General features: G+C 38.7%; 1 protein-coding gene across 4 annotated transcripts in view; it reads right to left on the bottom strand.

The window, feature by feature from the left end:
- Window positions 1-23,606, bottom strand: part of NELL1 (neural EGFL like 1) — a 906,136-nt gene that overhangs the window by 718,524 nt on the left and 164,006 nt on the right. For 3 of the 4 annotated variants that reach the window (NM_001288713.1, NM_201551.2, NM_006157.5), the window contains one exon: window positions 9,410-9,580. The exons of the other annotated variant lie outside the window; for it this stretch is intronic. In NM_001288713.1, the coding sequence (NP_001275642.1) occupies window positions 9,410-9,580 (171 nt within the window). The remainder of the gene's footprint in view (window positions 1-9,409; window positions 9,581-23,606) is intronic. 4 annotated transcript variants of the gene reach the window in all.

Genomic DNA, 23,606 nt, shown 5'->3' with positions numbered 1-23,606 from the left:
CTGGCTCTCCCTTATACGGCCAACAGCTTCCCTCTCTCCCTCTGGATGCATGCTGTATGCACAGCATCAGCAGGGCAGTTATACCTTTTACAAACAATAATAGCGATGAGCCTTCCCATGTTATGGCTGTGATTATATAACAAGTGGAGTTATGCACCTGTACTCCAAACTCACTGAGTCACTCTGGCCCAGATGTCTGCCTCAGCCTATTCTTGACCAAAGCACATCCATGTACCTTACACTTAGCATCTCAAAACCTCCCATCTATAAGATGCAATCACATCCATCTCACAGAGCTATAAAGATCAAGTGAATGTATCAATCATCTCTAGAGAAACATAAGACACTAACCTCAACTCACTAATGATTAAGCAAAAATTCTACATTTTCCTTAGCGTGGTGTTATGCTTCTGAGGCTAAAATGTCAAAGAATACAAGAAATTTGAATCAGCATTTCCCCAGCCTCTTTCTTGCTTGTACTTCAGCCAAAAACAGCATCAGACCTGGAAAGCAGATATTAGCAAAAGTACATGGAAGGATTAGTCAGTCAACTGCTTTGCTGAGGATATACCAGGACTAATCACAGCCTAGGGCTGTTTACCTCCAATGATAATAAAATTCCATTCTGGGTAATACAGGCATTCTAGGTGTCCCAAAGAAGCCAGCTGATGGCCACAACTTGAAGCTTGTTAGTTCAAATGTGTGAAATTTGCTGTCAGAAAAGTGACACCCTCAGACTAATAGACTCTAATGAGTAGGGATGCGACATGGCATTCCTGAGGGAGAGTTAGAGACACCATTACACAAGCCCTTTAAAGAGAAGAGAAATTATTTCCACTCTAATTGCCAATGAAAACCCTCAGGTGTGGGTCCAGGCACATTAGCTGGCTGGCTCTGCAACTCTACAACCCTTGCTGGCAGAAACACTCACAACAAACTAAAAAGGATAATCTGGAGAGAAAAGTCACCTAGATTTGGGGTTTGTGCAGGAAAAAGAGTGCACAGAAACATTTTCCGTGCAAGCCTCTTCATCCTCACATCCTAACCCCAATATACCACCTAAAAGAGGAATAGCTGAGCAGATGCAGCTATAAATCTGTTTTCTTGTGTCCAACAGCTCTGGCTGCTATTATTTATAACATTAGTTTAATTAAAGTTTCCAAGGAGATAGATGAATCTTGTTACAGTAGTATAGAAAATCCGTTCTTTTCAACGACATCAGCATCCCTGATCTATCTGGAAAACTAATGCACTGTTTGGAATTCTTTGTTTTGTTTTTGTTTTTGTTTTTTCAATTAAAAAGTCCTCATGGCTCATGCATTTTTTATCCCCAATGATCTTTTCCAACAAGTGAAGCATAAAAGGAACAGAGAAAACTAATATATGAATGTGTATATGTTTTTTTCAAACAGAGTTTCACCAGGTGTATTGTTCTGGTTTACTTTCTTTCCTTGCTTTTCTCTTTAAAAAATAACCATGCATATCCATCAAAAATAGAGTAAAATTACAACAATTAAGATGCAAGCATCAATATTTTTCCTATCAGAAAATATATTTTTCTCTTGCAGCCTATTTTCCCCCTCCATTCATCTATATAGACCCATGTCCATGTAATACAATGACAACATGAGATGTGACTGAAGGCAGGTAGATGAAATCACTATGAGTTGGAAATGAAGTCTTATTTTCCTCTCTATTCTAACACATCTCAGGCCTCATGTATGCAACAAAATGCTTTCTTTTTAATCCACTCCTCGCCTCAGGTAGCCAACAAACCATCAGATAAAGGAAAGAGTCTATTGTATTTTTTCCCAGTTCTTTCTATTTGCAAACTTGAAAGCCCAGGAGTGCAAGTGGATGGAGAAAAATGCAGATCACTCTCTCATCTTCCATTTCAATTAATCCTTTCACCTTCTATCTCTCTTTGCCATTGAGGCAATCGTTAACGAAAGGCATATTTAAACCCACCAGAAAAAAAAAAAAAAGAAAAAGTTGAAGGTTCTTAAAAATTAGAAATAGGTCTGCTACTGATGTTAATAGAACATAGGACAAGGTTAACTTGGAATCCACCTAGCGAGGTTGATATGAATACGCCACAGGGTACATAGCATGAGTAGAAATGTGGGGGCTAAGTCAGAATGAGATATCCAACACTGTAATGGTCAGGCTGCCTTAGCAATTAAGCAGACACTCTCTATTTTGCCTGAAAATCTCATTTTGAAAGTATTATATTGGCCATCTATATCTTTAACATTAACTCTATTTCCTGTTATTTAAATCTCTGTGACTTAGCAGCATCCAAGGCTTCTTTTACTTCAGCATTCAGAGGATGTATGTCTTTCACAGCACAACTATCCATCATCTGCTTGCTACTGTGCACTGCCCTCTGTCTTGTAGGTCACCGAGCTACCAAGGCCTCCATGGCCAGAAAAGCCTGCATCCCACACAGGCTGTCCACTGTCACATGTCTGAGGCAGAGAACTCAGGAAGAAAGAGCACAAGGTGGAGAGAAGAAAAGGCCAGCATCCATTAGCATCCAAAAGTACATATTCAGTATCTACTCCAGCAAGTGATTTAAAAAAGAAAAAGAGAGAGTGAGCATCCAGGAGAAGTGGGCTTTGGTCTTTGCTCATCAGCAGCATGTTGCACTGCCAACTCACATATAAATTCAGATGACTGCAAACCCCTGTAGGTCCACTACAGAAGTGGCACTTTGAAAAGGACAAGCTAAGTTGCTCTCCATGGTGCTAAAGGGGGAGGGGAATGCAAGCCCTGAAATAAGACTTGTGATGAGATAGAATCAGGAGGTACACCCAGAAGGGTAGAGGTGGAAGAAGACTTAAAAGTCATCTAGTCCTAGCCCCACATTTTATACTTAGGAAGCTAAAGCCCAGAGACAGTAAAGGACTTGGACTTGCCCAGGGTAATACCAATTTCTTTCAGTTCAAGTTTTCAGTCAAGAGAATTTTTGAGCTAAAAAGCCAGACTTTCAAAGTAGAGAGGCAAATAGTACATATTTTGCTCATCCATGTGGGCTTTAGGACATCCAGAAAATTAGAGCAAATGAGTTCCCTCATTTGTAAAGTCAAAACTTTACATCCTTTCATAAAAGCCATGATAATTTTGCCTCATGAGTGGTGGGGAGTAAGTTTCTGAACCACTCCTCACAGGAATAAAAAGGGAAAGTGGGCATGTCACTTTCTCAAAGCCCTGCCAGGATCAACAAAAAATCTTACACAGGAGGAGGTGTTTCCTTCCCCACTCTGCCTCAGTTACAAATTTTTAAAGTGATTCTATTGGTGTAAAAAGCATGCAATACTGTGCTGCACTACAGACCAGAGAACTCAAAGACAAACTACTGGCAAACCTTGCTTAGGATCTGGAAAGTAGAATAACCTCAGAAATCTCACATTGTTCAGTGAATCTACATTACACATTATGTCCTGAATCCATGGGATATAAGCCACTATTTTTACAGAGGTAAAAATTTGACTAAATGTTACCCATTTTCAGTACAATATATTAAAACCTTCTCTATATGATGGTATACATCTGTTGTGCTTAATGATGTTATATGTTCATACAGAAGCTTAACATTTTCAGAGGATTTGGCCTATACCCTCTAGCTAAATTCCTACCACAACCCTATGGTAGAAGAATTCATATTACTGCCATTTTACAGATGCAAGCGCAGTTTCTGGCATATGAATGAGTGAATGAATGAATGAATGAGAAAATTAGACATAGATTTCTTGCTTTCACACTCCTGCATCGTTACATAAAAATCACATTTTATAAATGGCAAAACCAAGACTAGGGTCCAAAATATGTTTCCATCTAGATTAAACCACGGAGCGCAAATGCTTCAAATATGAAACATGGAAGACAAATCTTTCCTTTTCCTCTCCTTTCCCACACTTCCTTCTCTGTCTCTCCCTACAGACCTTCCCTCACTACCAACTCGATACTACTTACCCATACATGGTTTTCTCTCACCACACTAGAATTGGCACTGTTATGCCTGTGAGATAAACCTTGTTCTAAGCCTGACTCATGTGACTGGTACAGAATCAGATTCAGATCACATAATGGTGAAACTATAAAGCTGTAGAGATTGTCATGCATTTTCACCTAGGCTGGTAAGAAATTGAGAGGTTACTCCAAGTCCCCCAGGAGCTTCCCCTACTGTGATCTCCCAGACCTGATTGCCTCTACCAGGAATCTAGCAATACATCATATACTGACTGCCTTACCACATCTCTTACCTTGTGCTGTTACTTAAATTTACACATGAATATGTCCTATCTTCCTAGCTTGCTTCCCATCTCTTCCTAGACAACCTGAAGCTGCTTTGTTAGTTTGACATGAGGCATATGCTAGCTTCCAATTTTATTTTAATTAATTTTGATAATGAGTTGTGCTCTTGTATTTCTGTTTATGAAGCAAAGAACATATCAGTTGGAGAACCAGGAGATTGAGAGTCTCAGCCTGGCTCTCTTGAAAGCTGAGACCTTTGATAGTCATCTCTTAATTTCCCTCCGCATACTACAGCAGATATGCTTGTATAAAACCAATGTCATGCATTATACTTGTGATTTAACCACCTCAAAAAATACAAGGTTAAATAATATGTTGGTAAGTAGTTGTGGCGCTCTCTAGAAGGAAGATGCCATATCAACAGATTTCATTATGAAAAGTCTACACATATAAACAGATGCTCACATCCTGAAATTACTCTGAAATTTTAGATAGAAACCTTAAATTACTGACTCATTCATTGATTTGTAGCAAGTTTAGTTTTGGATTCTGCATGCTTTTCAAGATCAGTTGTATGCAAAAATTGGATGTGCTCTATGGATAATAAATAGCATGTGTTAAAAGTAAAAGATAAGTATGTTTAGTCTAGTCTAGACTAATCACTTGTTAACTCTCTGTCAAGGTGACAATCGGGCTGCAGATGTGTGTGTATGTGCCATACACATTTGAACAAGTCTGAAAAAATAAGAGCTAAGTTGAAATGTGATAGACTGCACTTAAGAGCTGAATTTTTCCAGCAATGAGGCATAAGGAGGTTAACACAGGGTAGGGATGCCGGCATATTACAAAAAGTGCTGGCCAAAGGCTGGGTGAATTAAAAGCCATCCATCTCTTAGCTGCTGAGGAGCTCAGCTCCACTGTCACTTCAGGACCAAGATGCTGGGAGTTCACTGTTTCCAGTTCTTTCCACTGTTCAGCTGCCATTGCGAGTTATCAAATCAGCCTGCTTACAGGGCTCCTGTCTGCATCCAGGCTTCCTCTGATACCCAGGGACTAGGCCCAATCACTGTGAGGGGCTCTGGTGGTTTCAGAACGAAGTTAAAATGACTAAATGAATAAGCCAAGAACTTCCTGGTGGCAAGGACTCTTATTTCCTTGTATCCTACACAGCCTGGCAGAGATAGTGTACCCAATAAATAAATTTGATGGGCTGAATGAAAATTAAAAGTTACAAATAAAGAGAAGGAAATAAAATTCATTTTGTTGTGAAAGGGAAAGGTTGCTTATGCACTGAATCCCAGATGTTGGTGGATTCTGTCCTTTGAGTAATAGAGACAGGCTGTAAAGTGAGCTGAGAAGGGAGAGGGTGAATCTAAGGAAGGTTTCTTCAGGTTCCATTCCAGGCTTTGTTGCCAACTCTTAATATAAAAGGTAGCCGGAGAAAAACCCAAGGCAATGGAGATAATCAGTCTCCCCACCCAACTGAATGGTTCCTTCTATGTTTCTAGCTTGAGGTAATCTGCTATCCACACATCAGGAACTTCTAACTAAGCCCAGCTAAACAGCTGAAACAAGGAGAAAAGTGTCTCCGTAGCAAGCAGAAAGTGTTGAACTACCAACTAAAATAGCGTTTGCTTTTCTTGTGACAATTTGTACAATTAGGTCTGAAAAAGCTGTTCCTCAATTCTGACCTAAAAAAATAATGTGCGAAATCCTGCCACATTAATATTCCTCAGAGCAATGGAATTATCTGGGAAATTTCTTCTCGATTTTAGAGTTCTCATGGTCCCTGAACCTTCTGTAGTATCTCTCCCTTGGGAAGACTCCCTGGTGTGGTTGTGACCTTGTCTTTGGCAGTACATGTCATTAGCACACTATGGAGGTGACCTGGAGGGTGGGTTAGACTAAGGTTTTGGAGATAGTTTCAGACTCAAAGTTTGGGTTATATGCTTATTATATTATGTGATTGACACCTAGTTATTTATCTTGAGCTTTTCTATTTCCAAATATGCAAAATGCATCTAGTAAAACTGTCCCCATATGGTTATCCTAAGGAATACTATTACTAGAACATTACCTGGCCTATAGTAGAGGCTCAATAAATGTATATCCCTTCTCCAGCACCAAAGTAAAGGGTTCCATCAATTAGATTTCACATCTTTCCAAGCAGCTCCCAGGATTAGCAATATAAGACATGTGGCAGGGAAATATTAGAAAGGAACAAACTGCTCACATTGAATCTTGGCCTTCCCTCATGTACCAAATAAAGTGTCAATGGTCCCCACTATTGGGCTAAATAGCTTAGTAGTAGCTAGATGCAGACACTCATAGGTCAAACTTGGGTCCAAATCCTGGTGCTGCCATTTATTAGTAGCAGGGTTACAGACAAATATATAACCTCAGTTTCCTCATCTTAAAAAGAGGAAAAACTAATAGAATGAGTATGGAATAAGTTAATCTATGTAAAGTACTCAGCACTGTGCCTAGCACAATCAACATCAAATGTTATCTAACATCATCTCCTTTCATACTCTAATCAGCAGAACACTACTGGGTGAGAGGTTGAGAAAAACTCTAAGAGTAACAGGGATCAAAAAATAAGAATCACAAAGTAGTAATGGATAGCTGAAATTCACTCTCTGTGAGGGTGGCTGAGACTAAAAGTGATAGAACCAGCATCTTGATATATGGGACAGAGCTTCTGCTACTGTAAAGTTGGCAAGTTCTGGCTGGGAAGAAACTTGTGAAGAAGGTAAAGTTTGTTTCGTGCATTAGACACTACCCTCTCCTTAATCCTTTTCTCCTTCTTACCCTCCTTCAGGTAACTGGTCTTCCACGACTTCATTTATTTGTTGTAGCCCAGCCTCTCCACCAAATTCCTTCCCCTCTTTCTAAACCAGTGGTTTGGAAATGCCAGTCCATTCACCAAGGGTAGACTGCCCGCATGGAACCTATATGGAGGGCTTGTTAAAAATATTGCTTCTCAGGTTCCGCCCTCGGGGAATCTAATCCAGTAGGTCAGAGGCAAAGCCTGGTTATCCATTTTTTTAATATGTTCCCCAGGTAATTCTTAGGTATAGTCAGATTTTGGAACCATGTTTCTAGCCTTTTCCTACATGAAAATCAAAATTTACTTTTCTTATGACCAGTCTTTGGGTCCATTTTTTCTCCTGACCTACCTGAAAAATGTATTTGTGTTTAGAGTCTACGAATCATTAACTAGCAGCAACTTCATAAGTTTTCCCTCCAAGATCTTACATAAAGGACATGTTATGCCACAAGCCAAAGTATGAAAAATATTAAGAAAACAGAAGGAATATTTGGAATACCCTCAGTCAATTCTTTATAAATGGCAATGACTCTAAAGAATACTGTGAACTACAGATCTCCTATCCTCTTCTCACTCTCCTGGTAGAGAGGTCATGGTTTCCATGAAGGACATACAGAGTATGAAAGTTTGAAGGCAGGGTCAAAGAGCTGCCATTGATATGCAGAGTAAATAACAACAACCACCACAAATGTAGACTGAGCACTGAAGGCCAAGCACCACCTAAGAACTGCTCCAGAGAGAAGAATGTCAGGAAACAGAGTAAAACTCTTAGAAGGAAGAAACAAAAAACTGCATAGCAAGAAAACAGCAGTATCTCCAGGACTCTTAAGTTGGAAATTACGAAACTAGGGTTTTGTGGCCTCTTTCTGTCCTGTGGCTTAGAAGGACAAGCAGGGCTCTTCCTCTGCAATCCCATTTAGACAGCATGTGGGTGGTAGGTCACAGTGGGTCATAGGAGTGTTGCCGGACAGGCCACTTTAATTCTAGAGAATTGAAGGGGGCAATGAGCTCTTGAAAGTGAAAATGGATATAGCAGCTAAGCATTGGCTTTATCCAGGCTGCCCAGCCCCAGTCTGCAGTGTACAAAGGAGCTAGTGGTTTCTATGGAAACTCTGTCCAGACATATTTATTATATCTGGTGGAAACCACAATTCTTCAGAAGTCTAAAAAGCACCTTAAATAGGTCATATCAAAATGGACCAAGACTCACCTCAAGATGGCAAACCTTCCCTTGAGCCTGACAACAGTTCCCTGCCCTTCCAACTCTTCTAAAAGAGACTGCAGAGCTAGAGTGGCAGGCATATTCAAGCATCTCCTCATGAGAAATGCGGTCTGAAGCTGACTGACCTTGGAATATCTCTCCTCTTGATGGTTTTTGGAAGGGAGGCTATCCCCAATATGCCTGTTCTTTATCCTGGGTTCAAGGGAGCAAGCCTTGTGTGGCTGAAAAGTCATTTTAACTTTGATGGCATCATTAATGAGAATCAACAATGCATGGGCACTGCTCAGAATGCAAAAAAAAACTCTGTAATTGGACTCGGGTCACTATCCATAAGGATCTTCAGTGGGTTATGGAGAGATAAAAACTTTCCCCTTGAACACCATTATCCAGCTGTCCAGCCATAAATGATCCAATAGAAACCAATGGACTCCCTCATTCTTCAATTTTCATTAAACCTGGCTCCAGTGACAGACAAGGGAGACAACATTTCCATCCCACCCCAACCCAAAACCTCCTGTGAAACCCCCTGGTCCCACCATCCCCTGACAAGCTGGAAGGCTCATTCCTCTGGAGAAAATACCTGGCATCAATTCCAAAAGGCTCAGAGAACAGCCTCTTTAAGAAGCCTCCATTTGGAAAAGATATTTAAGCAAAGGTGAGCTTGATGAAGTGAAATAGAATTAGCTGCTTCAGTGGCACAGGCTTCTCAGATTCATTCCAGGGTAGACAAGCTTATTCGCTTCCCAGTGGAACGAACTCAACAACAATACATCACCGTTAACTGTGATCACAGCTCCATGGAATTCCAGCCAGTGCCTGGAGCACACTGAGGTGCACTTACTATTTCCCAATCTGCAATCAACCTTTTGTACATTTGCTCCTAATCACGGGATACAGTTTCATCTTAATGAACTGTTTTCTTATCATATTACAGTTGGTCATTTCAGCATGCCTAAGGTCCCATTTGGTAGGTTAAATTACAATTAGGGTCCCTTGGTGTTTGTTTCCTGGCAAGTCTTGAAGGAATTTGATATTTTTTCCCCTTTTCCATTGCTTGATTTCAAGGGCAGAATCAGCAACACTCAAAGACAAAGAAATACCTGTTACAGTCGACATGGAGCAGGAGATGAGAGGCGCTAACTGACAGTGCAACCTTGTGCCATTGTCCATCTGCCATGCGGTAAGGAAGTGCCTCTGTCCTTGGCTTCCCATTGTGTATGTAGTGATACCGAATCTCATCCCTCAGGCCACTGCTCTCCAGTTCAAAATAGCTGTATGTAAAGGAACAAACATTTGTTTTATTTTAGTTCTGGATATCACAGCCATCATCAATCCCTCAACCCCTTACTACCAGGTCTCTCACAATCTAAAATTAGCTAAACATGGCACAAAGAGCCAAGACCTCAAGTCAATTCACTGTAGGACACCCAATGAATCTATTGTCTGAGAACCCTCGTGGCAACATCTTGAGCCTCTGAAACAGAGATCAATTGGTCCACCATGAGGTAACAAGCCACAGCTAATTAGCAAAACTCAGTGCAGTGTTTCTTAAATACTTCAAAGTACAAATCAGAACCCTCATTCCATGAATGTCTAAAACAGGCCATTCATGTGGAATGGATCTATTGATGGTTATTTTCAGAACTATTATCTTTACCTTTTCAAGAATTAAAGGGAAATGGAAGTCATGTTGGACATCAGGGATTGAAATACATTGTCAGAATGAAAAGATTAGTCTTTTTTCTTCTCTGTAGACAAAAAGATATAATTGAATAACAATTCCTAGATAATGAGTAGGGGAGAAAAGGTTGAAGCTAGTCACATAGGAATTAGTATTTCAAATTATCAGAGAATGAAATATGCAATTAAGTTTTTTCTTTTCCAGGATTATGATCCTGTTTTTCAAACCCATAAGAAATTCTTAGCCTTACCACTGTGGTCTGCACTTCAGTCATAAAATGCTACAAGCAACTTTGGGACACTCCTCAGGCACACAACAGGGCTAGTACTTTCACAGGTGCCAAAACTATTTTGTTTCCTATGCCTCTCTTCTGAAATGTGTCATTGTCATCAACGTTGGGCCTGATCTCACTGCCAGGGCTTGCACTAGGTATTTCACATATACTAATTTATCACTCAAAAAACCTGAGACTGGTATTATCTTTTTTAAAAAACTTAAAAACTGAGATTAAGGATTAAACATACCCAAACCAGACTTAAACTTAGATCTAAATTTGACAGTGTATGCACTTTCTGCCAGTTTGTTGCCCATCCCAGAGGCATGATGACAAAGTGGTGAGGATAGCCTCACCAGGCACTAACTCCAACAACTCATTCATATGGTCAACTCCAGAGCGATTAGCCTAGACAGGTAACTAGGCTTAACCCCTAGATTTGGAAGGGCCTGCTGCTTCTATTCTAATCCACTGAGCTGGCTAACCCCACAAGCCAAAGGGTATTTAATCTAAAAGACAAAATGCATCTTCTATGAGGAATGAAATGAATATATCAGGAAACTCAGCGTCTATTGTGCCTGAATCCCAAAAGTCATGCCAAAGAACAAATACATATTTCTTGCTCATCTTTCACAGATCTTTCCAAAGTAAACAGTGAAGGGCAAGCAGAGAGTCAAGACCAGCCTCTGACCCACCTCATTTGCACCAGTACAAAGAATCATGCCCAAGGTCATAAACTAAAAGAGGTTATTTATACCATAGCAGCCAGCTTCTAGGCCCAGGTTCATACTTATTAGTAATAATTTATGTAATACATACTTTATAAGACTGCACAAAAGGAAATGCTTTAACAAAGAAGACATTTATTTTAAGGGAATTCTCCAGTTTCTTCTAAGTTGTTAGAACACTGAAGAATCAAACAATCGGAGAACTTAGAGGTCAAGAAGATGTTACAGACTATTGGCCATTCATTAATTCATTCAATATGTCTTTACTGAACACATAATGAAAAACTAAAAAGGGGTTTAAAATATATATCCCATGTCTGAAGGTGCTTTGTGAACTAGTGAAGAAGGAAGTAAAATATGTCCCTCCCCACGGCCCCCCCAAAAAAAGGGTGAAAAATGGCCTAAAAGGAACAAATGAGGAGGCAAGAAAAGTCATTTAATGAATGATTGTCATGTGCCAGGAATATGGCAAGTGCTTTCATAGACATCATCTTTTTAATTTCTTTAAGGTAGATTTCATTATCCCTATTTTATAGATGATCAAAGATATTAAGTATCTTGCCCAAGACCATTTAGCACCTGTATAGAAATGCACCACGAGCTTATATTTGAGATCCTACCAGGATTCACACATCATGAGAAATCTCTCAATTACTTTACTTTGACCAATAAGCAATTACTTGGGGAAGGGACATGACCTTGAAAGGGCTTCAATCAATGACAATTAGAAATACTCACAGAAGTCACCTGCTGGAATCATTAAAGAGGGAGGCAAATACATTTAACCAGATTTCATCATTATTCTTGGGGTTGTGGCCTCATTGAGCAAGTGTTCAATGTATTATAAACAGATCTCTTAAAGATCACTTTATAAAGCACTGGAGTCAGTGATTACATTGGGGTAATCACAAATATATAGCTAGGAGAAAAGAAGTCTGTCCTAATGTCAGGCAAATGATACTTTTATCTTAGACTAAAGTTTCTGGCCACATCCTGCACATATTCAAAAAGTGCTGCATCTCATGCAACTTGGATGAAAATCAAGATGATATATTTTTGAAAACACATGTCAGATAACTGCTGAAGCAGCCTTAGCAATAATAAAAACACTGGATGGCTAAGTGACATCTGGATAAAATTCTTTCATGAGGGCTAGGAGGAAAATAAGGCAATATTTCCAGGCAGTAATGCTCTACAAATAAAGATGTGAGGCAACTCTGAGCAGAAAGTCATTTGGCCTGATGGGATTTGGCTGTAGCCTGGAGGGAAGACTCATGTTTTCTAGTAGAACCTTGTGACTCAGGGTGGTCTGTAGAACACCAATAGCAGCATCACCTGTGGAAATTCAGATTATTGGGATAACCCCAAGGTCTACTGCAGCAGAATCTGTATTCCAACAAAACTCCCAGATGATTCATGTTCTATGTTTACATCTGTGTTTAAGAAGCACTATAGTAGTATGCCAGGTGTTGCCTTACTTCCTGGCCAGCTGGTCTTGATGAAGGGAGCAGAAGTCTGACGCTACGAGCAAGTGAATAGGAGCCACGTGGCGCTGCCAGGTAGAAGGAGGACACTGGAAGTGACAGTAGGCTGATCTAGTGAGCAATCTACCCCTCACCAGTCCTCATTCTTCAGGACTCAGGTGTATTGGGGTCTTTTCAAGAGTCTCTGGGGAGGGCAGCTGTATAAATGATAAAATTATAAGCCAGATTTTGTAAGCAAAAGATTTTGCAAGCCCTTAGCCTTGGACCTCAGCCAAGTGTGTTGTTCCAACAAACTGCCTTCGCTCCCAGAAAAGTCTGCTCATCCTGCAAATATCGGAAAACAGCAGTGATATTCCCTCTTCTGTTTCAAGCCAAGCTTCCCTGGCTCCTTCCTTTATACTCCCATCTCCATCTAAACTATGAGCCCCTCCTGGACAAGGATTCTGCCTTCTTCCTCTTTGCAGCCTTCCCCATGTTGGTCACCATGCGCTAGGCATGGTCAAATGAATCAATTTTCCACTTAAATACAGCATCCAGGAATAAAGGCACTTGTACAGATGTGGTCTAATGCAAAGTACAGTGACACTATCACCTGCTTTGCTCTGAGCTGTGCACAACTACGCCTACACTGACTTTCCCATCAACTAACACCCCAAGACCTTGAACACAAAATGTTATGAAGGCAAATCTTTTCCAACCTGTATTTACTTAGCTGAATTCTGTAAGCCCAGGCCTTTGCTTAAGTGCAAGGTAGACCCTACCCAGAATCAACATGCATAATTCCTCAAAGGTCCACCCTTGGGTATCAGGTACAATCAGTATTATCATGAACTGAAGTCGATTTTCATGAGACTATCTGAATTCCTTAGTAGATCTGGAAATAAATTCAGGAACAATAATTCTAAAAATATAGGTAGATAAAGATCAATCAAGTTATTTTTATTAAAATTTTTATCATTTTCCCCAAAATTGATACCAAAGTATCCTATTTTGAGATTACATACATAATATTAAAATATATAATATAATTTTATATTTATATATTTATAATAAAATTTTATATTCATATATTTATATAAAATTTTATATTTATATAATATATAAAATATATTATATTTTATATATAGAACAGAAGGGCTAGATATATTCAAAATGTTAAAGTGATTATTGCTGGATGAATTAGGTGGCTTCTGTGTACAAGAGTGAAAACAGTAAAAGTTAATTTTAGATAGCATCCAGCACTAAATCACAAGTAAAGGTAAAACATTTCTTAGAAAAGGTCTCTTTTCCAGTTATTCTACAAGGATATATACTAGCTATTCAGAGAAATATATCACACCCAAAGAGCTCCAGAGTTAGTGCAGTACCTGCTTACATTCCAACAATGATTTTTCTGTGGCCCTGAACAAACCATTGCTTCCTAGGAGTCTGGGTGGGGAGGTCAAAGCAAAATGGATTTGGGAAACAAGAAGATACCCTTTCCCAGCGTGTACCCCTAGCAGGACTCTCCAGATAGAGAGAAACCCAGGCAGGTGTCCAGCTACTTTCTATAAAAGGAATAAGCCACCACATATAGAGAGAGAGTACCTGGGTAGATCATTTCCACAAATCCTGGAAAATCCTAAAGATGATGAAAAAAATAAGTTTCCCAGCATAGTGCCTACAATTTTGTAAGACCTCAATAAAGGGTAACTCTATTTTTATGGGCAATAATAATAACTATGATAACAAAAACAATATAGCTAACATTATTTATGTAATAATAGCTAATACTTAGTGAGTACTAATCATTACTAGGAGAACTGCCTTTAGGTCTGTATATTTCATATCAAAATAATTCCTACCACAAACCTGTAAGATATTTTACTTGTTTTAACAAATATTTCTATAGTAGTGACTATGGGCCAGGCACTAGTCTGCAAATATTTACTCATGTAATCCTCGTAACAACCTTAAAAATTACCAACTATTATCATCCCTATTTTATAAAAGATGAAACCAAAGTACAGAAAGATTAAATAACTTGCCCAACTTTGTATGGGTAGATAAGAACAGATTCAGGATTTAAACAAAAGCAGTCTAGTTCCAGGCTCACTAGGTACAGTGGCATGATCACATCAGAGTCAGAGGACAAAACAGTTCAAGTGAACTCAGGCAGCCTCCATTCATGGTTCTCATGATGCCCTCAGTCTAGGTATGCTGCCAAGTCAGACTACTGCAGACCCAGGTGCCAGCCCTCATTCTTTATGCTAATCTCATCACTCTGGAAAGAAATGCTACAGTTGTTCATGCTGAAGCTCTTTTTTTTTTTTTTTAAACGGAGTCTCACTCTGTTGCCCAGGCTGTAGTGGCACCATCTTGGCTCACTGCAACCTCCACCTCCCATGTTCAAGCCATTCTTCTGGCTCAGCCTCCTGAGTAGCTGGGATTACAGGCACCCCACCACCATGCCTGGTTAATTTTTGTATTTTTAGTAGAGACAGGGTTTCACCATTTTGGCCAGGCTGGTCTCGAACTCCTGACCTCAAGTGATCCGCCCACCTCGGCCTCCCAAACTGCTGGGATTAGAGGCATGAGCCACCGCACCCAGCCCATGCTGAAGCTCCTGTCTCTTTCCTGGTCCTAAGTCCACTGTTTGGCTAATAAAGAGATTAAGCCAACAACACAAGGCAGGTATACCGTGCCCCACCTTAGACCAGGGGTCTCAATGGCTATGTGTCCTGAAAAAGAGGCAGTACCACAGCTTTTAAGTAAATAGTAGTGGGACTACTGAAGCTTGAGTTGCAATCTTAAACCTGCCAGACAAACCATGTAATTTTTGGCACATCATGTCCCTGCCCCTCTGTGTCTCAGTTTTTTAATGTGTCTTAAATAAACTAATTATATCTGATCCGCAAAGCCCTAGGATTCCTCAAAAGGCTCTTAGAGTGTATGGCAGAGGGAAAAGATGAGGCCTATAACCTTTTTTAACCAGAGCAACTTCACTGCCATCTATTACATAAATTGGAGTTTCCTGTAAGATTTCCTCTGGCTAAAAGAGATCCACCTCCAAAAATAGTTTTAAACTATTGAACTAAATAATTTTTAAAGTCCAGCTCAGGTCTAAATTCCTAGAATTCTTATGCTAATTTGCATCTGATTGGTCAATTCGTTTCATTCTATTCCTGATATTATGTCAGCATTCAGGCTCCTGACTCCTTATCAGCCTGGAGGAGAGAGGAAGGAGAGGTAAGTGTAGCAGATGTAGCCAATATCTATACCCCGCCTTCTCCCTGGGCACTGGGCACATACTAAAATATATTCCCCAGTTCCCTTGAATCTAGGAGGGACCACATGAGTAGCTGTCACCAAAAAAAAAAAAAAAAAACATGAGCAGAGGTGCTGTGTATTATGTCCAGGCCAAAACAGTTAAGAGAGGATGTGCCTTATCCACACAAGTAGCAGACGTCCAGTGGAGAATTCTGAGGCCTTATTGGGTGGTGGCACCATATGGTGGAAAAAGTCTGGGTCTATAAATGACTTCATGGAGCAGAGATACCTTTCCTCACGCAGATTAACATTGAACTGGGAAGTAAACAAAAATAAACTTTTACTGATAATAACCAGTGAAATTTAGAGATTACTAGTCTACCTTGAGTCAGTAAAGAGAGGTACAGAAACATGAAACCGAAGAAAGGCAAAAAGAAGAAGTGCTGAAAAGTAACAATGGGCACAAGTTATTGCTAGTCTATAAGTAAAAAGAAATGGCAGCAGGCATGAACACTGTCATCTCCTGTCCTGTGTATCACAGATAACCTGAATTACATGGCTTAATATTCTGTTGGGAAAACTGTATTTTGAGACACAATATCTCCCATCTGGCATACTCTTCTACAATGCGAATTTCACATTCCTTACCTTGAAAGGTGGGAACTGTGTCTCCTCCCCTTGAACCTGGATGAACTTGTAAGTACTTTAAGGGCAAAAGTAATGCTTGGTGAATTCCATAAATGTAAAAATGCAGTTTCTGTCTTGTTTACCAGAACACTTGTGCTTTAATCCCTAAGTCACCTTGTAAGAAGTCCAACTACCCTGAGGCCACCTTGCTGTGAGGAAGTCCAGACCGTACTGGGGAGGTGGCATGTAGGTGCTTTAGTTGACAACCCCAACTGGGATCCCAGCCAACAGCCATTATAAACACCAGCTTTATGAGTGAAAACACCTCCAGCTGGCCTGCCCAGCTGTCCACTCTTCTCACTGAAGCCACAAAAGTGGTAGAATAGAGATAAGCCATCTTTTCTGGGCTCTGTCCAAATTCCTGATCCACAGAAACTGTGAGCAAAAGTTTTGGGGTAGTTTTTTTTATACATCAATAGAAACTGGAACACTCTAACTTCAGGTATACAGATTTTTATTATACCTTTAAAAATAAAAACTATAACTTAAGTATGTTTCTACTAAATGCCTGGGTCATTGGCCAGATAACCAAATCTCAAAATGTTGATTTTCTGCTTATAAATAGCACCACAGATATATAACTATACATTTTCTTTTAACTTATAAAAATGGAATTCTACCAAAAATGTAATTTAATATAAATAAACCATTATATGTTTTAAAATACATGGTTTTCAGAAGCTACTTAAAGAAATAAATACCTTAGGACTACTTTGATACCTTTCTCATTAATCTATTATTTTTCTTGTATCAAACCCAAACATTTTGGCCTCAAGCCTCTTGTTTACACAAATGGAAGTGGCCCCGTTGGTGGTTCTTTCACAAATCAGATATCTTTGGGTTCCAGGTCCATGTGCCCTTTAAGGCTACAGAGCTATTTGACTAAACTAAAGTCCTGATTTTCCCAGACAAACTTCTGGTACTCTCAACTTCTGTTTCCTTTATTCAGAGCAATATGGAAACAGAATATATACCAGAAAAAAATATGCCAGATGTAAAGAGGCTTCAGAACCCAGATATCTTGTGATCAATCCCTCCCCTCTGCCATTCAATCCATGTGTGAATGTGGGCAGGACACAGCATTTCCCTAAGCCTTCTTTTCTTCATCTAGTTGAAAATAAACATCTACTTCACAGATTTCTTTTGAGAATAAAATGACATACGTTTGTAAATTGCCTTACAAACTGCCTAGTATCCAACACTGATTATGATTTCCCTTCATCTTTCTATATACATGAAAATTAACTGCCTTACAAAGGTGTGATGCTGCTGAAAGCATACGCATTCTGCCTTTTCTTAGAAAGAAGTGCTTTTCTGTCTCTCCCTTTCTCTTGTTTAGACTAGACCTGGTGATTTTTACTTGTAGTTGTAAAGTTACATATTAGTTCTGTACTCAATCCTCTTAGCAAACATATAGCAAGAGATTAATCGTGACAGCAATTACAAACTGCCTTTGTTATTGAAAATAAAACACTCACTGTTAAATGAAATGTAAAATTCAGGCTCTTTATGCCCATTCAAAACTGTTCTATTACACTCTTTAAAAATCCACATGGTATTAGCCATGCTGTATTTAACAAAGTAAAGGCTGGCTTCTAAATTCCCTAGAGAACCAGGAAAAATACATGAAACTTCAGGCAAGTTAAGATAGAAAAATAAAATTAGTGGCAGAATACACTTTAAAAAAAAAATAAGCTAATTTAGCAGGACAAGGGGAGAGGAATCATTTGGTTTTGATTGTCAAGGCCTGCAAATAAAGTCAAATAAAAACATTTATTAAGCAACCAAGCCGAAGGCACTAAGCTTGGAATTGCACAACTGCATCTTAAGACTAAGGTATAACTTTGGATCTCCAGGAACTCAAAATTAAGATGTTTATGAATAGCAAGATTTAGGAAATAGGCACTAAATATATAGTGGTGGTTGTAGTTGTAGTGGTAATGGTAATTGTACTAATGACCAAAACATATGTAGCACTTTCTATACTTGTTTCTAAATTTTATCTAAAATGCTTAAAGAAGAAATATTATTGTTCCCAAACAAGAAATATAATCTTCAGTTTTCTAAATTTTTTTATTTCTATTGTTGAGAAATAAACTGATATATCTATAAAGGTACTCAGTGAAAAATTTCCCTCCCATCCTGTACCCAGTCTTCTCAGTATCCAACAACCCTCATAGGCAACTAGTGTTGGCGTCCCATGTATTTGTACAAAGTTTTTTATGATAAACTCTTTTACAATAGTTTTATATTTGCAGAAAATTACAAAAATAGAGTTTCCACATAGCCCACACCCAGTCTGCCCTATTAAGAACCAATATTAATAGATTATTAACCAAGTCTATATTTTATTTAGATTTTCTTAGTTTTCACCTAATACCCTTTTTAGGTTCCACACTCTTATCTAGGATGCTACGATACATTTGTTTGTCATGCCTCCTCAGGCTCCTTATAGCTGTGCCAGTTCAGACTTGCCTTGTTTTTTTATGACCTTGACGGTTTTGAGGAGTACTGGCCAGATATTTGGTAAAATATCTGACAATTGGGATTTGTCTAATTTTTCTCATAATTATACTAGGGTTGTCACTTTTGGGGAGGAATGCCATAGAAGTAATGTGCAATTCTCACAGTATCGTATCTAAGAATGCATTCTACTACATGACATCACTATTGATGTTACTATCAGGGTTCATCTCCCTGGCTAAGTGTTGGTCAGTTTTCTCTGTTATAAAAATACTCTTCCCCCTACCAGTTTTATACTGTCCTCTTTGGAAGGAAGACACCCTGTGGAGCTCACACTTAAGGAGTGGGGAGTTATATTCCACCTCCTTGAGGATGGAATATTGAAATGAAAAGATTCATTTTACATAAATTACTTAGAATTTTACTGCATGGGAGATTTATCTATTCTCATTTATTTATTTATTCAAACACTTATTATATCAGTGTAGACTCATGGGTTATCATTTTTTACTTTGGGTTACAATCCAACACTGTTTATTTTTTTGCTCAAATTGTTCCAGCTTTAGCTGTTGGACGTTTTTCAGCTAGTTTCTTTGATTTACTCCCATCATGTTTCTTGTTTTGTTTTATTTTGTTTTGAGCATTTCCTTACTTTCTAGTACTACAAGATGCTCAAGGCTCATCTTATATATTTCCTGACCCAATCCTAAAATCAACCATCTCTCCAAGGAAGGCTTGTTCCTTCTACTGGAGAATGGTATGCGAAATCAAGATTTGGCCACTATGTGTGCTCATGGCTACAAGGTATTGCTGCTTCTGAGCTCTCTCAGCCAACAGAACAAAGAAATATATGTGTGTGTATAACAATCAGTATATATACACATATCTATAAATATTTCTATAAATATTTCTATATGTATCTATTTGTATCTAAAGTAAGCTAAACATGAATTCATACTGATGTCTTAAACTCTAATCTGTTATCACATAGATAATTCTAGTCTCTGTCTCATGCTTATCTGTAATCTCCCATGATCTACCATCAATTTACTTAATTAATTATTCACTTTCTGTATACACGTATAGTGGTTTTAATATCATTAACCAATACCCTCAGGTAAACAACTTTATCAACTCAAGTGAAGTGTCTATATACAGTTCCTTCCGCCTTTAGTCCTACATACGCCATTAATTTCCAAAGTTCCGGAAGTCAGCTCCTATTTCCCCAATCCCCGTTGTTGAGGTTATTTCACACATTTATAATACAGTTAGATATTCTGTTACATTCTGAATTCCATCCTGGGATCTCTTAACTTCCTAAATGATTTTTTTAAATATGTACACATTGAGGTTTACTCTCTGTGCTGTAAGGTTCTGTGGCTTTTGACATATGCATAGTGTCATGTGTCCACCATTACAGAATTACACCCAATAGTTCCACTGCCTAAAAAATTCCTCTGTTTTTCACCTATTTAGCTCTCCCCTAACTCCCAAAGCCCTGGAAATCATTAATCTGTTTGTTATCTTTTTTTAATCTTTTTTTTGGCTTTTTCCAGAGTGTCATATAAATGGAATGATACAGTATTCAGCCTTTTCAGATTGGGTTCTTTCACTTAGTAACATGCATTAAAGATTCATCCAAATAGGATCAGCCATAAAAAAAAAAGTTTCACCTGTGTCTTTGCATGGCTTAATCATGCGTTGTTTTTTTTTATAGCTGAGTAATACTTCATCATATACATGTACCACAGTTTATCCATTTACTTATTGAAGGACTTGGTTGCTTCCTGTTTGCAGGATTTTTTGTGAAAATACATTTTCAAATCAACTGAGTAAATACCTAGAAGTGCAATTCCTTGATTTTGTGATAAGACTATGTTTAGCTTTGTAAGAAACTGCCAAACTGTCTTCCAAAGGGGCCGCACTACATTACACTCAGACCAGCAATAAACAAGGATTCCTGTTGCTATTCATTCCCACCAGCAATTGGTATTGTTGGGGTTTTTTTTTTTTTTTGGATTTTACCCATTCTAATTGGTGTGTAATGGTATATCATTGTTTTAATTAGCATTTCCCTAATGATAAATGATATTGAGCATTGTAATATGCTTATTTCCTATTCACATATCTTCTTTAGTAAGATGTCTATTCAGATATTTTGCCTATTTTTAAAAATTGGTTTGTTTACTTATTGTTGAGTTTACTTATTGTTGAGTTTCAATTGTTCTTATATATGTTGGATATAAATCCTTCCTCAAATGTGTGTTTTTCAAATATTTCTCCCAATCTATAACTTGTTTTTTTAATCTCTTAATAATCTTTCTGGTAGAGCAGAAGGCTTAAGGTTTAATAAAAATCTAACTTAACAACTTTTTCTTCCATGGATCATACTATTCATGTTGTACCTAAAAGCTCATCACTGAACCGAAAGTTATGTAGATTTTCTCCTATGTTTTCTTTTAGGATTTTTACAGTTTTGCATTTTACAGTAAAGTACATAATCTATTTTGAGTTAATTTATGTAAAAGGCATAGGGTCTTTGTCCAGTTAATTCTTTTGAATACGAATGTCCCATTGTGCAAGCATCATTTTTTAGGAAGAAAAGAACGTTTTTTCCAAAGGTTTCTTATGCTATGAAAGCAAGTATAAACATACTATTTTGTCCCACCTCTTTAACACAAATGGTAGCAGAGTATTCTCACTGTTCCATACTTTTTTCAATTAATGTAATAAGAAAACTTTCTTATACACAGAGCATTTTCTTTATTTTTACTGTTTTCAATTTGATACATATTCTCCCACTCAAAATTAAAATCACTCACTTATCTACAACACAAATTCAAATTACAACTAGGTAAAGGCCCATTTTCTCAAGGCTAAGCCAGGCTTACATACTGTGAAAGCAAGATTGAAAATCATATATGCAAAGAAGGCACTAAGTGTAAAGATAAGTAAGCAACAAGCACTTACTTAATACAAAGTATGCCTCTTGTCAAAGAATTTACATGTCACTCGATAAAATAAAAACTTACGGAAAGATAGACAACAATACATCCTTGACCTTTAAAACGAGGAGAGGAGATCCAATCTTGAACGGTGATGTGAGAACGTTTCAAAAAGAAGCTAGATGTAGAAGAATGACCTAAACTGGAGTGAGATGGGTAAGAGAAGTGCTTCAGGAGTGGGGAAAATGTAAAAACATGGAGGAAGAAATGTGTCTGGCATGCTCAGGCAACAAAGAAAGAAGAGGTATGAACAGCACTGACGATGTACACAAACAGATCAGAGGAGTTGTGAAGCAACAGAAAGGTAAGTTGGGGCTAGATTCATAGAACCAACCACTGACATATGGCCCTTTTCCTACAGCCTAGCAGTTCTCAAACCATTTTATGTTAGGACTGATAGGCAGGTAATGTTCAAACACTCCCACGGGTGTCACCAGTTATGCAAAATTTGTTTTCTTACCTCTAACTCCAGTCCTTTCTCCACTTCTCAGAAAGTGCATCATATCAGTGGCTCTATGGACCCTGACTCCACTCTAATAAGTTAGGGTGGGTTTTTTTTGTTTGTTTTTTGTTTTTTTTTTTGAGACGGAGTCTCTCTGTTGCCCAGGCTGGAGTTCAGTGGCGTGATCTCAGCTCACTGCAAACTCTGCCTCCTGGGTTCACACCATTCTCCTGCCTCAGCCTCCCTAGTAGCTGGGACTACAGGTGCCCGCCACCACACCCAGCTAATTTTTTTGTATGTTTAGTAGAGATGGGGTTTCACCATGTTAGCCAGGAGGGTGCTTTTTTACATAAATAAATCACAAATTTATATCTCCAGTCTAGACCTGTCTTCTGAACTGCTTACTTGCATAACCAACTACCTACTCAACATCTCTCCCGGAATACCCCAAACTCAATACTCGCAACACATAACTCCTAATTCTTTCCCCAAAACCTGGGCCTCATCCATTATATCCTATATCAGAACAGAAGCTAAAAACCTAAGCATTGTCTTTGACACCTTTCTCTCCCCAGCACCTGATGTGCACACCATCAGCAAGTTCTATCGCTTCTGTTCCAAAGTATCTACCACATTTATCCATTCCAAATCTCCTTCACAGCTATCATCCTTATCTTATCCACCAACATCTACTACTAGCAACTATATAGATTCCTATCAGGTCTCACCGAATCCACGCCGGCCCATTCCAATCTATTCTACAGACAAAGTTACCTTTTTAAAACAAGAATCCAATCATATTATCGACTTCTTCCAAGCACCCCCACTTCCAAGCTTAAAATCCATCAGTGTCTTCTTATTACTATTGAGCTCAAGCCTAGAAGTCTTAGGCATGCGCTTCAGGAAACTACATGCTTTAGCCCCTGCCTATCTTTCCAGTGTCAGCTTTCTCACTCTCTATCTTGCCCTCTACACACCAACGTTCTTTCAAGTCTTCAAACATACCACGATCCCTCCCACTACAATGCACTTGCTCCAACTACCTGGAAGGCTCTTATCCCATTATTTCCCTAGCTAACTTCTACTCATTCAGCTCTCACTTTAAATGTCACCTCCCCAGGAAGTCCATTGACTTGCACTCCCCACCACCACATAGGGTTTTTTTAAATAAGAATATGCTCCTTTCCTTCACAGCTATCTCTGTACTTAAATATTTTTCTCATTATTTTGTTAACATCTGTCTCCCACTGGATAAGCTTTAGGAACACATGGACTATATCTGTT

This window comes from Homo sapiens, chromosome 11, assembly GCF_000001405.40.
Source record: "Homo sapiens chromosome 11, GRCh38.p14 Primary Assembly".
Classification (NCBI taxonomy): Eukaryota; Metazoa; Chordata; class Mammalia; order Primates; family Hominidae; genus Homo; species Homo sapiens.
Note: the sequence above shows the minus strand (reverse complement) of the source record. Positions and strands in the feature narration are given on the sequence as shown.